The following is a 17,097-nucleotide window of genomic DNA, read 5'->3' on the forward strand; positions in this document are numbered from 1 at the left end:
TAGAGGATTGTAGTGCTTTCTAATCTTAATTGGGCCCGAAATCTCTTTGAGAATCTGATCTAAGCACCTACTTCTTTCCATAGAAAAAATGCATATCCTCCCAATTTTGCATGTAGTTCAGTAGGTTCATAGATCCTGAAGTCTAACCAAAGACGTCAGATTAAGAATCCTTGATGTATTAAAAAGACCACCATACTAAATCCCAGATCCAAATCCTGATTTGAGCAAGCACTCAGTTAAATGTCTTAATTTGGAAAGCTCTCCCCCACAAACCTGCCAGGTGGCCTTGGGCAAGTCATCTGCCGTTTCTTTCTATATTCTTGGCTATAAAATGAAGAGTTGAAATAGATAAAGTTCAGACTCTTTATGACAACTGCCCATGTCTGTGGATGTTTAGATAGTATCTTAAAGCAATGCTGTGTAACCTTTTAAAGGTCAAGGTTTCCTTTGAGAATCTGATGAGAATTTTGTATCTTCTGCCTAAAAAAGTGTCTAGACACAAAGTTTTACCTAGTATTCAGGGTGCCCAAGGAGTACAGATTTAGGGCTTTTGAACTAGAATGATGCAATGGTCCCATGTGTCTAGTGATCCAGTTGCCAGCTATAGCTCCAGCTTCCTCAGGTCATCTCCCCCTGCCCACTCTCTTCTCTCCACCCTCCCAACATCTGCTCTGCACTGAAAATCTGCTGGTAACTGGGAGGTCACCATGGTCTACTCCAGTACTGTGGTTCTCAGACTTTGCTTTTACATCACAGAGTCTTTTTTTCTAATGAAGTCCTACCTGGAGCTCCAATATGGATAAAAGGGGCCTCTGAAGCATTTATTGACACATTTATTCATTCATACATCCATTCAACAGCTATTCATCAAGTGTTGCTTTGTAGCAGGCACCTGGCTGGTCAGGCTGGAGACCCTGCCTGCCTGCTTGATATCCCCCAGTTTCTCTCACTGGCCCACAGAACCCAACAGTTCTGTGATCCAGCCTGAAAATCACAGATTCTGTAAGGAGATCACTCTGGCCTAGAGTGAGGTGAGGAGAAACTCTGCCCCTGAAACTCATAACTTTGGGGAGCCTCATTTTCTTCATCTGTAAAATGGAATAATGATACCACACTGTATTCCAAGTATGTATGATGCACATTATCCCTAGTTGGGAGTATGATTGGCCCATTTCTTGAACAGTGAACATGAGCACTGAGCTCCAAGAAAGGACAAAAAGAGGAGCAGATAGAGGAACTTTTGCCTGCAGTGTCCAGGAGAGACCCACACTATTTAGAAGCTAGCTGATTGGCTGCTCGGAAATTTCCAAGAAAATTATAAAGCTGAACCTTGGGAAAATATCTGCTGTTTCTTCCCTCCCCCATCCCCTGGAAGGCTGGCTGCTGTCAGTGCCGATTTCATAGACCCAGTTCACACAGCGTCCTCTGGGATTCACAAGCCTGAACCTGCAATGACAGAGGAAGGTTTACCCGCAAATGGGGTTGGGAAAGATGACATCCGCACTTGAAGAGCTACTTGTTGGGAAAGAACGGGTCTGCATCAGTTCAGATCCAAGTTCCTTTTGCCTTGTGCTTGGGAATGTAGAGAGGTGCGGGCCTGGATGGCTTTGGAAATGTTCCTTTCAACAGTGTTTCCCGAGGGAGCTCGAGCAAGTTCACTGCTGCCAACAGCTCACCTCCAGGGCCTTCCCTTCTCCTGTCTTTGGTTGGCAGGCTGGTGTCAAGGTTGAAGGCATGGGTTTTGGTGTTGGCCCAGCCTGGGTCCAAATCCTGGCTCTGGCTCTACTCCCTGCTTGATCTTGGGAAAGCCACTTGACCTCTCCAAGCCCCATATCCGTGTCTGTGAAATGGGGTTAATAATACCTCCCTCCCAGGATTGTTGGAAAATCAAATTAAATCCTATTGTAAAGCCTGGTGCCTGGCTCATGTAAATGCTTTATAAATAGTTGTGCTTTCTTAGCTCTAATTTTGCAGCTGAGAAGCAGATTAGTTGGTAACATAGTGATAGGGGAACAGGGGTAAGAGCACACATGTCTGCTATTTGTGTACCTGTTACTGTGTACCAAGGTGCCCCACTCCTGTCCAGGCCCAGTGTGACGGTCTTGCCAGGGATTGGATGACAAATAAACCCCACTCTATTACTCTTCCCTTCTCCCTCTTGACAGGTGCAAACAGGAGAATGAATCACTGCTTTTCCTTTATTGATAGGTCAGAGAGCATTTCCTGGCACCCCCAGGGTACAGCCCCCTGACTCCTGCTACCCAAGAAGGCCACCCTTTCCTGCCTGTGATACTCCGTGGCATCTGTTCTGCCAGAGGACTGACCCTTTGTGCTCCACATATGTTTTGCCAGGAAACACTTATCTCAGCCACAAACCGTCCCTGTCCTCCAAAAGACTCAGAGCTGCTTACAAGGGGCTGCTTTGGTCAGTCAGCTGTTAGTCCTGGGGCTCTTGCCTCCTCTGTGGGGGTAGCATCAGTCACCCTAAAGTTCTCAGGCCGCCGCTAGCTAGTGAGTTACAAGATTTTAGAAACCAGCTCTTGTCCACAGATCCTCAGGCCCCTGGTTCTTGGATCCAGAGGCGTCTGAGGTATGTTCACAGGCACCTGCTGCTGCTGCTGCTGCCTCTGCTCTTGCCCTCAGTCCCCGTCTTTCCACCTGGGTCCCCTTGCACTTTCATGCCTGAGGCTGCACTGGTGGCCAAGTCTAAACTGAGGGTCCTCCCGCAGACCGAGAGCCGCCGCAGCGCCTCGGAGGCGGCCTCCACGGGCATGCTGGAGCGCTGTTCCAGCAGCATCTCCAGCAGTGAGCTCATCTCCGAGACAAAGGTGCTGGCCAGCCTCGTGCCTGTTGGGCTCAGCTCTGGTGCCTCTGCCTTGCCGAACGTCTGGAAGGTCCTTGGCTCCTCCGTGGCTGCAGCATCCGGGGAGATCACATTGTCACGGTAGTTGGTGGTGAGGGGCAAAGAGAGTCTCGCCATCCAGGCCGGGTCAGGGGCGCTCAGCCGGTCCAGGGCCAGACCTGTGGGGGAAGGAGGGGACACAGTGAGGGCCAGGCTCCGGGAAGGGCCAGGCGGGTGAGGGTGGGGCAATGAGCAGGGCAAGGGCAGTGGACAAAGGAGGGAAGGGAAATGGCAGGGGACAGACAGAGTGGCCAGACGGGGACAGGAAGGAAGAGGCCCTGACAGGGAAGCTCCCTGGGTAGGAAAGCAGTCGACTGACACACCCGGGCGAACCAAGTGGGGAAGCAGCAGGAGGAGGAGAAGGCCTAGAAGTAGAAATTTGCCGATTTCTGAAGAATTTCCCAATCTGGGCGTGTGTTTCCAGTCTCAGTGTCTTCTATATTTCATCCAGGATTTTTACCCCTCAGGGCGCCTTCTCCCCTCAGGGCTCCACTAGCTGAGGATGGAGGGAAAATCCCTTTTCTTTGCCAAGGCTGGAGTTCCTGACTTAGCGCTGCCTTTTTTGGTTCCCATCCATAATAATAGGGACCACATATTAGGTACTTACGTGATGAGCAATTTACATAATTATTTCATTTAACTTCACAAACCTTTGAGGTCAAGAGTATTATTCCCATTTGATGGATGAGGAAACTGAAGCTGAAAGAAGTTAAGTCACACATCTGCTAGGCAACCAAACCTCAATTTGATGCCAGGTCTGATGACTTTGAAGCCTATGATGGCACCACCCTACCCTCTCTCTGAAGAGCTGGCCCTTCCTCCCCCTGGATACTCCAGGTGCCCAGCTGGGGCCTCTGGAATTCCCAGGCTACCTAAGGTCTGCACTGTTACCACCTGGCCCCAGATCCTCAAATCCTCCTCAACATCATCTCTCAAGCTGCTGGAACCCTGGCCTAGAGTCAGGCTGGGGAGGGGCTGCCTGTCCAAGGGCTGTCCCAGGAGAGGGACTGGGGTAGTGGCGGTGGCAAGTCAGCCTGGTGGCTGGGAATTCAAAAAACTGGCCCCTACATTTGCAATGCCACAGTCACCCTTCTTTTCCCATCCCTTTAACAGAAAATCCTGTTTCAAGAAACCAGTCCCAGGCCTGATGGTAGAGACCAAGCCAGAGGAAAGAAATTATAAGTCTTGGAGTTAAGAAACAGTGTCTTAAAAAAATTAAAAAAAAAAAAAAAAGCACAACATCTACTTAACATTTATCTAATGTTTGCCTAAGGTGAGTTACTTTAAAATCTGCGCACAGAATGAAAGACTGGAAGGAGATATGTCAAAATGTTAACTGAAATTACCTCTGGGCAGAAGCAATCCATTCTCTTTTTGTTTATCTATGTTTTTCTATATTAACCAAATATTACTTATGTAATTTGAACAAGTTATTCCGAAGTATGTGTAGTCATTTATTGTACTGATAAATGAATCTCTGCCCTGCATTCTGGACTGTGCAGCTTGTGAGACACTGTTGGGCTCCTGCCCTACTGGATCCTTGGGTTTAGCCCCATGCCTGGGACTTAGTGAATGTTTGTTGAATGATTGAATGAACATAAATATTAACCTTCAACATTTGGGAAATGCAAACCTTAGTTCCTTGAGACTCTGAGGCTATAAGGTTGGATGGAACTCTTGGTGTTATAGAATCAGGCCTTTCCTTTTACATGGGTCAGAGAGCTTCAGAAGGAGTGAAGCTTGGAATGAGAAAATCACTGGGGCGTATGAGAACAGCTGAAAAGTGATGCTGAATTCACCCAGCATCACCCACCAGTTCTAGCTGCAGGTGGGCACTGGGCCAACCTGGGTTTGATTTCCCAGCTTTGCAGCTTAGGGGCAGTGTGTGTGACCTTGGGAAAATGGCTTAACCTCTCTAAGCTCCCGTTTCCTCTTAGGAAGTGGTGAGACAGTAGTACGTATCTTGTGGAGTTGTTGTGAGGTTCAGTGAGTTCATGCAACCAGGAAAACATTATCATGGTCGCATTCTCAAGTGGGGCAATCTGAATCCGAAGCAGCAAATCTGAAGCAATCTGAAGCAGATCTGAAGCAGCAAGATCCCAGTCTCCCCATGGCAGTCCAGCCTGTGAGCAGCAAAGGCTTTTCTGCCCCTCCTCTTTCCTTACCCCCAACTCCTTACAGTGCCCCTGTGTTCAGTACCCTTTGTGCTGTGGGCAAGCAGGACCGTGTGGGAACTGACCCCACAGGTTCCAGCCAGAGCTGACCAATAGAGATAGAATCCAAAGCTATATCCCCCAGCCATACATAGCCAGTGAGCACTTGAAATGTGGCTGGTATGGCAGAACTGAATATTTTATTTTATTTAATTTTAATTCACTTAAATTTAAATAGCCACTTGTCGCTAGTGACTACCTCATTGAACAACACAGCTCTAAAATTTACAGCCACACTGCCTGTGTTAATAACCATCCACGAGCTGCACAACCTTGGGCAAATTATGAAACACCCCTGACCCTCACATTTTTCCTTTATGAAATGGGGATAATGAATAGCCCCTATCTCATAAGATTTTCTCATGAGGTACTTAGAACAGGGCCTAGCACATAGAAAGTGCCCAATAAACATTAGCAATATTTTTTAACCAAGGAAAGAGAAGTCCCTGCCATACCTTCAGTGTGTCTGCAGCCAGATGGAGCACATGAGAAACAGTGTTAACTACATAGATAGAAAACCACAGCACAGGGATGGTCTGCCGTGGGGTGTGTTACCAAAGGAGGCTGACCAATGTCCACAGCAGGGGCGGGGGGCGCTAGCAGATTCTTGAATTCAAGTTCACATTATGTATTTATTGTCAAAGCTAATTATTTCTCTGCAAAAAAATCTTTTTGTTTTCATTGCAATTGTTAGCATATTAAAGAGTTGACCTGGTTCCCAGGGTGAAAGGGTATTGAAACACACCAAACGCCAATGAGTGGTAAGAAGTCCATAGAGGACAGGCTGGCTCAGGGTTTGGCTCCCCTTCAATCACTGGTGAGCTGGGTGACTCTGGGAAGGCTACTTGATTTTTTTGAGCCTCGGTTTGCTCATCTGTAAATTCGAGGTAATAATTATCTACTTGAGGGGATTGGTTGGAGGCTTAAATGAGATCATGTACATAAGATGCTTCCCCAGTGCCTGGCATGTTCACTATTTTTACAATGATTTTTAAAATGAATAATCAACGTAGGCCAGGTGCCTACTTTGGCTTTGATTACAGGTGGCTCATGCCTCTAATGCCAGCACTTTGGGAGGCTGAGGTGGGTGGATTGCTTGAGCCCAGGAGTTGGAGACCAGCCTGGGCAACAGGTGAATCCCTGTCCCTACAAAAAAAAAAAAAAATCAAAAATTAGCGGGATGTGGTGGTGGTGCTCACCTGTAGTCCCAGCTACTTGGGAGGCTAAGGTGGGAGGATCACCTGAGCCCAGGAGGTCAATGCTGCAGTGAGCTGTGATCATGCTGTGATCATGCCACTGTACTCCAGCCTGGGTGACAGAGCAAGACCCTGTCTAAAAAAAAAAAAAATCAAAGTAGAACCTGGTCTTTAAAATACTTTCTGAGGCTGCAAGGGTGCAAGGGAAGTTAAATGTTGCTGATGTTCCTCCACAGAAACAGAATGGCTTTTCCCTGCAGTGGATTGGAGCAGAACTCTGAAGCTTGGACACCATGGGGCAGAAGCAGGGTCAAGGTAACTCCAGGGGGTCCCTACCTGTGCTGGGGTCCAGCAGACTTGACAGCTCTTCTTCTAGCAGTTGCTTCACAGAGAGGTCCTCTTCAGGATCCAAAGGCCCTTCCTCCTGTTCTGGGTCTGTCTGGCCTCCAGCCCTTGCACTTGGGCCATCTGTGTCTGGGATTGCACTCCTGCAAAAGAAACCAACCAGTCCATGGGTAGGGACATTCCCATATAGATTCATTCATTCATGCCCATTCATGTTTGCATTCATTTACCCATATAGGGAACTGGATACACAGCCTGGCCTCTAGAGTCAGACCAACCTGGATCATGTGATTCCCGCCCTCCTCTTACTCTGTTTCCTCATTTGTAAAATGAGAGTAATAAATAACACCCACCTCACAGGGTGTTGTGAGGGTAAAATGAGACGTTGTAGGTAGAGGGGCCTACCACAGAGCCTGGCACATTGTAAGCACTCAGCAGACAGAAGTGAAGATGAGTTCATTGATATCATTCTCGTTGCCCCTCCCATGTCTAGGTATTGCCTGGCACACAGGAGGAGTTTAGTAAACCTCAGTGGAGCCAGTGCAGCCGTCCATCCGTCCGTAGGAGAAGGCTGGGATTTTTGCCTGTCTCATTGCCTGCTCCCTTACTGATGCTCAGAACAGGGCGTGGCACACAGTGGGTGCTGAATGAGTGACTGAACATTCCTTCCTCCCTACTTTAGGCCAAATCCTAGGCCAGAAGAGCAGACCTATGGAGGGTGCAGCCGGAGTGAGGCAGCCTAAAGCTGCTCAGAATCTGCTACCTGCACCCCAGTCTCCTGCTGTCTCCATCCTGGTCCCTCTCTCCCATAGACACTTGGGGACAGGCCTGGACCCTCATCCCAGCAGGTGGGAAGGCTACCTGAGGGGTTTTAAGGCGTAGGAGTCCTTCTGTTTGTTTGGTTTTGTTCCCCTGTAGCCATTTCTGCTGCTGTGAAGAAATGAGCAGGGAGGTGGCAAGTGTGTGGGTGATAATGACAACTAATGTTTTTGAGCAGTGAGTCTGAGTCAGGCCTTATGCGATGCAAGGTCCATGCACCGTCTTATTCAAACCTTCCACACCTGTAAGGGGTTCTCTTTAATCAACCCATTGTACAAATGAGAAAACCAAGACTTGTGAAGATTTTGCAGGTTGCCCAAGGTCCCCATAGATTAAGAGATAAAGCAAGACTTCAAATCCAGGCCAGTGTGACCCTGGAGTGTGTGGACTCACCCCTGCAGTACACTACCTCTCACCATCCTTGTAAAAAGAAGCTGTAAGTTGTCAGGGCAAGAGCACTGATGCAGGAGTCAGGAACTCTGAGAGCTGGTCCCAGCTTTGCCACTCACTTGTTACATGACCTTTAGCAAAATTGCTTCAAGGGGAAAGGAGTTAGCATTGTGTGTGCACCTACTATGTGTCAGTTGCTGGGCTATGGGCTTAGAATACAATTGATTATGAAATCCTCACCCCATTACCACAAGGGAAATGGGATGGGTTCTGTTTTACAGATGGGGAAACCAAGGTCCTGAGAGATTATCTCACTTGCTCAAGTTTACATAGCTGGTTTGAATCAAGCTACTCAGAGCCTCAGTTTCTCCATCCGTAACAAGAAGTTGGATTTGATGTTCTCTTAAGGTGTCTTCAATTCTAGGATTGCCCAAAGGGACACGCCCACACAGCCATGTCTTTAGTGGGGAGCCTTCATATTATGTTTATGGGTCAAGAGAAAGAGAGGTGACAGTTACAGATATAAAGGCAATTTACAGCACCTCTGTAATTGGGACAAATACAGTCTCAGGGATGAGGTCATTTCCTTGGTGACTACTGTATTGATGGTATTTATCAATACAGCTAGTTAGTCCTACAGGACTTCTAGGTCCTGTAAATACTATCAATACAGTCACCTCACGACCAAAACTCCCAGGGTGGGAGGATGGATGCTGTCTGCTGCACCCTCCCAGGGGACCGGTGTCTGACTTGTGCTCACCCTTCCTCACTCACAGAGGCTGCAGTGATGAGGGGCGGCCAGTAGGGGCCTTGAGATGCCTGTGGGGGCTACGTGCTGCTTACCTGCTGCCTCCTGGCTTGGCCAAGTACTTATTTCCTCGGTGGTTTGGTTTGGGCTGGAATTGGCCCTGATGCAGCAAGGACAGCAGCTGGGAGATTTGCTACAAGACAGGAAAAATCTGTTGACTCCACACAATTCCGACTCAGCACACTTCCTCGCCGGATGTTTCCCTCAATGCCGGTGCTTTCTTTTTATAGTCTTTCCTCTGGCTTCAGATGTTTGTGTGATCAGATGGGGGATGGTGCCCAGTGACAGAGACAGGGACCTGGGCGGGCAGGTCCCCTGCTCTGTCATGTCACCCCAGGACCTGAGTGTCTGAAGGAGAGCAAGAGGACCCTCTGGGCCTGTCCCCTCATACTCATTCCTCCGAGTGTCCTGCACCTGGTGGACTCTGAGAGATGGGGTGAAAAAGGCATTTCCTGACCATCAATTTGTTGTTACTTTGATGAAGATTATCTTAAAGAGTTATGTTCCCCTTTAGCAGTATTTGGACATTCGGCCAATTTTTGTTGACCAGATGTAAGACTATGTTGTAGAGAAGGCAAAATGGTGTCATTGAATTATTCATTTATTCATCTTTTCATTCATTCAACAAGTACTTAATAAGTGCCAGGCAGGGTGGTTGCTATGGGAGTAAGAAGGAGAAGGAGCCCCAGCTGCTGCCCTCAGCGTGGTCACATCTGTCAGGATGTGAAGGTTGCAGGCAGCCCCACAGGGAGGCTGGCTGGAGATCAGGGCAGCGAAGAGTGTTTACCACAGGGGTTGCCTCTGGGCATAGGGAAAGAATGGGGGCTCTGTGGGAGCAGAGGGCCCCTAACCCAACTTGGAGCAGGGAGGAAGCAGGGGGGTGGTACTGGATTAAGTTAATTCATTCATTTCAACAGATGTTACTGAGTTCATACCACATGCCAGGCACCTCTGCTGAGACCCAAAGGCTCCATAGGAGTTTGGCAAGTGGAAAGAGAATGAAGGTCTGGGCAAGGGGTGGGGAGGTTTTCAGGCAGAAGCACTGCACACTGAAAGGCTGGAAGAGAAGGTAGAGTTTCAGAAAGACTGGAGAATGGAGTAGGGGATGGGTGAGATATCACGGCCAGACCCTATAGGCCATTGGAAGGGAGAGGCAACAGATCAAGTCCTGGGAGGCGGAGTTCTAGTTCAAGGCCATTTGTAGCTTATTGTATAGCATTAGACAGGTTTTTAGACCTCCTCAGACCTCAGTTTCCTCATCTCTAATAGGGGGCTAGAAATACCCACACGCCTTCTTCTCAGTGTTGTCACGATTAAATGGTTTGAAAAAGTTAAAAATCCTCTGCAAAAGCAAGGAGTTTGCACTGTTATTCCTAGAAACACTGCTTCCTCCTCCTGGGTCCATCCCCATTCCTCCCTTAGGAGGTCCACCATGCCCCTCTGTGCAGCTTGAGGTAGGAAGTGTCAACCTCAGAGGAGAGTTGGAAGAGGAGATGGCCAGGACTGGGGTTTCACTGTGACTTGGGAGACTCGGGGTCTTATTGCCTGCCTCAGGGAAGATCCCACCTCCCAGCCCAGGCCCAGAAGCCCTCCTAAGATACCTGCCACCCTTTGCTCAAGTGACAGCTGCCTTTTCATGACATGACTCCCTACATGCCAAGCCCTATGCTGAGCACTGTCATTCAGGGTCACTTCACAGTTACAGCCCAGACTCGAATCAGTCAGACTCAGGTTCAAATCCTAAATATGTCCCTGCCCCAGTTCCCATCAGTGTGGCCTTGAGGAATTACTTAAGCATTCTGAGAAAATTACTCAGTTTCCTCAACAGTAAAAAAAGTGCATATTAATGAGACCCAGGTCATATGGTGGGTTACGAGGTTTAAATGAGCTTATTAATAAATCCCATGATAAACAGTGATTGTCCAGTGGTGTATAATCTCATTTAATTCTTACAACAGCCTAAGGGAAGAGATACCATTATGGCCATTTTGCAGAGGTGGAATTGGAGGCTCACAGGGGCTACACAGAAATTAGTGGGAGGGCTGGAATTTACACTCAGATCTGACTCTATGTGCTGCTGGAAAGATATGAGCATTGGGCAAGTTGCCTGTTACCCTCAAGTTGATCCCAAATGGGCACCTTTCTTTCTGTCACCTCAGCGGGGTCACCCACAGGGCCTATTCTCTGTTGTCCTGTCTACCAGCAGCCAGCACAGTGTTCAGCACAGAGTTTATCCAAAAAGCACCTGATAAATGGATGGATGAATGGAAGGATAAATGAATGGTTGGCTCTGGCAGCCTCTGGGTCTGCACCGATCCCAGGGCAAGATTCCTAAGAGAACAGCTGGGCCATCTCCAGGTGGCTTCCTGAGGAGGGAATAGGGAAGGAAACTGTGTTTTGCTTCACAGGAAACCTGAGCTGATAGCCTGGCCAAACAGAAGTGTGCCTTGGGCGGGCAGCCTGGCACAGTGAAAATATCTGAGGTTCACAGAAGCAGATATGGGTGTGAGATCAGGCATCATCCCTGGAAAGGTTTCCCCACTTGTGTCTAGAAAATCCCAGGTCCTTAGACATTTTGACACTCATCATCCCATTTAGCCCTCACACTCTAAGGAGGCAGACACAGGGTAAGTTTGGTCTCATAATCCCCATTTTATAGATGAGGAAAATGAGGCTCAGATGTTGAAGGACGTGTACAAGGTTGCCCAGCTCCTAAGTGGCTGTGTTGAAATCTGAACTCCAATCTGCCTAACTGCTAAGTTCTAAGGTAATTTCCACTGCCCCATCCGCAGGCCCAGCCGGAAAGCTCTGGGGTCTCAGACAAATTATTTGCAACACCTGGGTTTGGGTGCAATGATGCCTATGCTGGCCTTCTTCATAGGGAAGTTGCCCAGATGAGATGAAGGCAGGCAAATAGTGGAGATGGAGAAGTGCTTTGAGGAAGTAATAGTAATAATTTGCTGAGTACTGACTACATGTCAGATGGACACTGTTCTACAGGCATTAAGAGCATTCACTCATTTTATTTTCAAGCAAACTTAGAAGATGGGTGGTGTTAACATAGACATCTTCAACAGAGATGTTAACTTCCTCTGTGGTTCAGAGCTAGGAAGAAGTGGAGCCAGGATTTGAACCCAGGTAACCTTGCCCAAAGCTTATACTCTTAATCACTACCTTTGCTGTGTGTCTACTTGTGAGGCACCATAAATGCCTTATAGGAATTAATTGATCAAATCCTCTGGACAACTCTACAAGGTAGATACTCTTACTATCATCTCTAATTTACAGATAAGACAACTAAGGCCCAGAGACAGTAAGGAATTTGCCTAGGATCACACAGCTAAGTTCAGCCGATCACAAAGCTGTGCCCTGAACCATTGCTACCCAAAGCATCAGAAAGTGCCAGGTGAGCCTAAGGAAGAAACATGAGGACTGTGCAGGTTATGGGGGTGTCTGATTCTGTTTCTGGTGGTCCAGGAGTGACCAGAGAAAGAGCTGCCCATGCCCCAGGTACCTGAACAGGAGGAGAATCCACAGTGAGCTCCTCCACGGGGTTCCGCTCGGCGAAGGCAGCCACAGACAGCCGGACCAGGCTCCGCAGGATCTGACGGGGCCCTGATTCTTTCTCAGGGGACACTTTGCCATTGAGATGTCGCTGCCGTCTCAGGGTTGCAGAGGAGGCTGGTGGCCTCTGTGGGGCTTCCTCACTGCCCTGGTCTCCAGCCAGCCTCCCTGTGGGGCTGCCTGCAACCTTCAGAGGCCTGGAACGTGGCTGGCCTGTGGCAGGCTGGGGCTCGGGAAGGTTCAGGTTCTCCCGGGAGGCATTCCTCTGCCTGGGATGGTTGAAAAGGAGGTTGACCGTGTCTTGCAGCACCTCTCGGCTCTCCGCCGGTGCTCCCTGGTTGCCTTGATTACGCAGCGTCCTGTACAGGGTCGGGGTGAGGTGGAAGGGGGCCTGCAGGCAGGGGTCCCAGCCTGCTTCCATCATCGCCTCCTTGTCCACATCTTTGTGGGACTGCCCGACTTCACAAGGCTCACCTGCCTGACCCCTGAGCACAGGCACGAGGTGGATGTCTGCCTTCTGAATGTGTTTCTGGGGCCTCTTGGGCTGCTGGCGGTAGGTGGACTCGGCCTCCCGACAGTTGTAGGCCCTGTTGTCCTTCTTTTCTGTCCGGCAGATGGACATGAACAAAGCCAGGATCAACCCGAAGATGCCCAACAGTACAGCCAGGCAGATCACCGTCAGCATCGACATGCTCAAGGCCCCAGGCTTGCGGGCTGAGTCCCTCAGGTGGTCCACACTGGTGACAAACATGACCCTCAACAGGGCTCGGGTCTGTAAGGGGGGGCTTCCCTGGTCCTCTACTACTATCTCCAGCTCCCACTCACTCCCAATGAGGCTGCTGGCATTGGTGACATTGACGAACAGCTGCCCCGTATGAGGGTTGAGGATGAAGAGGTGGGCTTCATTTCCACTGCGGATGCTGTAGAGGGGCTCTCCATTTGCCCCCGAGTCTGCATCTCTTGCCACAATGGTTGTCAAAAGGAATGGCCGGGAGCTGTGAGTGGCCAGTGGAGGTGTGTCAGTGCCCGCTGGGCCCAAGCCATTGGGAGTCTCGATGGGCACCAGCAGGTGGCCTGTGGAGGCATTCACAAGCACGGAGAGGCTGGCTTTTCCATCGCTGAGCACAGGCTGGACCACCTCTGGGGCATTATCATTGGCATCCAAGAGGCTGACCCACACAGAGACACTGGATGCAAGCATGGGTTGCCCGCTGTCCTCTGCGATCACCTGGAACTCAAAGCCGGCCATCTCTTCATAGTTCAGTGACCTCTGAGCAGTGACCTCTCCTGTGTTGGAGTCAATAGCTACTAAGTGAGCAACTGGGGAGTCCTGGATGCGGTATGAGACTTTTCCATTAATGCCCAAGTCTGCATCATGAGCCTTGATGGTAATGAGGTGAAGAGAGGGTAAGTTGTTTTCCCGCGTGGAGACTTCATACCTGCTTTTCTCAAACACAGGTGCATTGTCGTTGATGTCACTGATCTGAATGCTGAGCTGTTTCTTGGCTGATAAGGGCTGGAGTCCTTGGTCTTGGGCTAACAGAGTGAGGGTATATTTGGGCCACTGCTCTCTGTCCAGTGTGGCATTGGTTAGCAACATGTATGTGTTGCCATTAGTTCTTTTCAGCCTGAAGTGGCCCAGCTCTTGGCTCAGCCAGCAGTGGACCAAACCATTGTGTCCTGAATCCAAGTCATCTGCCATGACAAGAGCAATAAAACTGTCCTTGGGAAGAGCTTCTGACACCAGTGATGGCTGGGAGGCCCATGTGACGTGGATGCTTGGGATGTTGTCATTGACATCCAGAACCTTGATGAGAACTTTGCAATGGGCTGGGATAGGATTGGGACCCAGGTCCCTTGCCTGAACATCCACCTCGTAGGCAGGGTTCTTTTCATAGTCTAGAGGTCGACGCAGAATGACCTGGCCTGTCTTGGCATCAATACTGAAGGTGTCCAGCACCTCTGGAGGCATGTGCTTACTGAGGAAGAACTCCACCTCCCCATTGGGGCCTTGGTCAGGGTCTGTGGCGGTCAGTTTTATGAGAAGCGTACCAGGTGCAGCATCTTCTTGGATTTCCAGTGCCAGTGAACTCTCAGCAAACGCAGGGCTATTGTCATTGGAGTCCAAGACGTTGACCTTGACCAAGCTGGTACCTGACTTGGGGGGGTTCCCATTGTCATAGGCAGTTAACACCAGATCAAAAAATGAATGGATTTCCCTGTCCAGCTCCTTCACCACTATGAGTTCTGCATGTTTGGTCTCATCAGGGCCCACAATGACATCCAAGGCAAAGTGCTCACTGGGAGACAGAGTGTAGGTGTGCAGGGTGTTAGGGCCTGTGTCTGGGTCAAGAGCTCTGTCCAGGGGGATCCGGGTTCGCAGAGAGGCGCTCTCAGAGATTTCCAGCTCCTGCTCGCCTTTGGGAAACCGTGGCTGGTGGTCATTGATGTCCAGCACTTGGATCTCCACATGGATCAGAGCCAAATCCCCTGTGGCAAGCACATCAAAGGAAACCAGGCAGGGATCCCACTGTCGGCACAGCTGCTCTCGATCCAGCCGCCTGCCTGTGCTGAGCAAGCCTTCCTCAGAGTCCACCTGAATGGGGAGCGCCTGAGGCAGCTGCAACACCTGGAAGGCAGCCCCAGCTTGCCTCCGCCTCTCCTCCCGGCCCAGTTCCTGGGACAGCTTCCCGATCACTGTACCAGATGGCACTTCCTCTGACACTTGGTATTTCACCGTGAGAGTGGTCACCTCCTGACAATCCCCTAAAAGAAATAAGTAGCCACCTGGCCCCAAAAGCCCCAGCAGAAGTTGCAGAAGTTGCATCATGCTTACCGCCAAGTGGGCTAGATTCAGAAACCACTAGAGTTCTTTCAAGGCTGGACAAGTCCTCCAGTGTTTCCTGGATGGCTTGATCAGCCCCGTGCTCCTTCCCCCAGAGCTGCCGGCACAACCTTGTCCCATAGTTAGATGATTATGAAACAAGCAGGACCCCAAGGCAAGGCCATCTTCATTGGAAGCGATCTGAGATGTCCAAACGCCGATCAAGAATTGCCAGGGGAGACCCCCTACTGGGGAACTAGTTGGTCCACTTCAGCAAATGATGGACAAGAGCTGGTCTAAGAGGGACCTGACCCAGTTGAGCAGGATGTGGGACTCTGACTGCCAAACAGTTGCTAGGCTGGGGAAACAGAGAAGCAGCTTTTTCCTATGGAAACCCCACCTACAGGAAAAGGGAGGGCTGTGAGTTTCAATGCCAATTAGAGAAAGAGCATTTCCTGTGAAGCTAAGTGGCCTGCCGCTGAGGAGGATGAGGCCGGGGCTCCGGGGACAGGCCAGATGGGAAGCTGCTGTCCACGCAGCAAGGCGGCTGCTGAGGGAAAGGGAGCCTCTGCATCACCAAGTGAGCAGAAAACTTGAGCCTCCACCTGCTTGCACGTGGACTGATGCCCCTCCCGGGCAAGTCATGTTTCCTGTTTCTCTCCCCTTCCCCAACTCTCTTTGTTCCTATCTTTTCCCCCATTGTTCCCCTCTCATTCCTGTCTTTTTCCCAATCTTGTTTACCTCTCTGTCTTGACTCTGCCCTGATCACCCGTTTTTGTCTCACTGGAAAGCAGCTGTGATTAACAGAGCAGCCATCAGAGGTAAACTGCCTGAGTTCAAATTCTGACTTTGCAACTTACCAGCGGTGTCATCTGGGACAAGTCACTTAACTTTCCTGGGCCTCCATTACCTCATCTGTAGAGTGGGGATGGGAGTAAGAATAGTAGCCCTTTCAGCAGGAAACTGTGAGGATTAAACGAAATGATGTAGGAAGGGCTTTGGCCTGGGCCTGGCCCCGAGTCACAGGCAGTGACGTTATTGCAAGGGGTGAGTGTTGTAATCTGCACAACTTGTCACACCCTATGGCTACCTCTGGATCTTGGATTGGCCCTGGGGCAGTCCCTGCCCACACTGACTTATGAGGGTGCCCATGGTCTTGATTCCAGAAGCTGCAAGAACCTGTGCAACTTGACCGTGTGGCTCTCCTCCCGCTTCCCTTCTGCCCCCCTCCAGCCTTGAAGTCCATTGTTCTCTGCATCTGGTCCAGACTGAGTCTCTGTCTGGGGAACCCCCAGCCTCCCACTCCTCTTGGAAGCTTTTATACGTTTCCCTCTCCCACACCTTCCCCTCCCTTTCATCTATGTCTTTCCCCCTTCCTCCAATTCTTCTCTCCCCAGTTTTGTTTATAAGAGTCCCGTGAAGCACATCTCCTTTGCTGCCCCCAACTCTCCTTTTAGATGTTTTAAGGGATACCCTATCTTCCACTCACCTCCTCATAAGGTGAAATTCAGGAAGGAAGGAGGTGAATGAGCAGTTTGCTTGGGTGGGCTTTGAGGTGGCCTTATTGCTTCTTATTGTGCCCTTCAGTTTGCTGCCCCCAACATTCTCCCAGCCTTATACCCACTTCAAGGTTGATCCCTGAGGCTCATGAAGCATTTGAGGTGATGAGAATGAACGCCAGCTTCCCTAGATGGGTGTTTGCTACTAAGCCCTTGGGGCCAGAGATGCCATGTTTGGACCCAAGTGGCACTAGTCAGGGCTTATTGGCATGGAGGCCTGTGGTCATCAGGACTGGGGTGGCTAAGGGACAGTCACCTGCACTCCTTCCCTTTCTCTCTGGCTTTTCTTTCCCTTAACTCCATATCCCACTCCTGAGGTTTCCCAACTATTTCACTGAAACCCATTAAACCATAGCAAGGGGCCTGAATCCAGGGCCACCTCCTACAGCATGGCCCTGGAGACAGACAGGCCACTCACAAGCTCTGAGACACTGCACAAGGGACTTAACCTCTCCTAGCCTCTGTTTCCTTCTCTGA

The 17,097-nt window shown here is 49.9% G+C and overlaps 2 protein-coding genes across 4 annotated transcripts in view, besides 2 other annotated features; one reads left to right on the plus strand and one right to left on the minus strand.

The window, feature by feature from the left end:
* Nucleotides 1-796: 796 nt before the first annotated feature.
* On the minus strand, nt 797-15,418 carry PCDH12 (protocadherin 12). The gene is made up of 4 exons (NM_016580.4): nt 12,188-15,418; nt 8,709-8,806; nt 6,648-6,799; nt 797-3,021 (listed from the first exon to the last, which is right to left on the minus strand). The coding sequence occupies exons 1-4, from the start codon at nt 15,065-15,067 to the stop codon at nt 2,597-2,599; spliced, it is 3,555 nt and encodes a 1,184-aa protein (NP_057664.1). The 5' UTR covers nt 15,068-15,418; the 3' UTR covers nt 797-2,596.
* Nucleotides 6,553-17,097, plus strand: part of RNF14 (ring finger protein 14) — a 40,956-nt gene continuing 30,411 nt past the window's right edge. The window contains exon 1 of one of the 3 annotated variants that reach the window (XM_047417908.1): nt 6,553-6,626. The gene's annotated coding sequence lies outside the window, so the exon portion shown is untranslated. Of the gene's footprint in view, nt 6,627-15,520; nt 15,642-17,097 lie in introns of those variants that run through there. The other 2 variants (XM_047417904.1, XM_047417903.1) reach the window with 2 other exon arrangements.
* Nucleotides 14,278-15,184: an enhancer, noted in NCBI's record as "H3K27ac-H3K4me1 hESC enhancer chr5:141336627-141337533 (GRCh37/hg19 assembly coordinates)". NCBI's record gives its function as "activates a minimal SCP1, AML or CMV promoter by ChIP-STARR-seq in primed H9 embryonic stem cells {active_cell/tissue: H9 hESC(primed)}" and the evidence as "EXISTENCE:reporter gene assay evidence [ECO:0000049][PMID:30033119]".
* Nucleotides 15,185-16,090: an enhancer, noted in NCBI's record as "H3K27ac-H3K4me1 hESC enhancer chr5:141337534-141338439 (GRCh37/hg19 assembly coordinates)". NCBI's record gives its function as "activates a minimal SCP1, AML or CMV promoter by ChIP-STARR-seq in primed H9 embryonic stem cells {active_cell/tissue: H9 hESC(primed)}" and the evidence as "EXISTENCE:reporter gene assay evidence [ECO:0000049][PMID:30033119]".

This window comes from Homo sapiens, chromosome 5 (assembly GCF_000001405.40).
Source record: "Homo sapiens chromosome 5, GRCh38.p14 Primary Assembly".
In the NCBI taxonomy this organism is placed as follows: domain Eukaryota; kingdom Metazoa; phylum Chordata; class Mammalia; order Primates; family Hominidae; genus Homo; species Homo sapiens.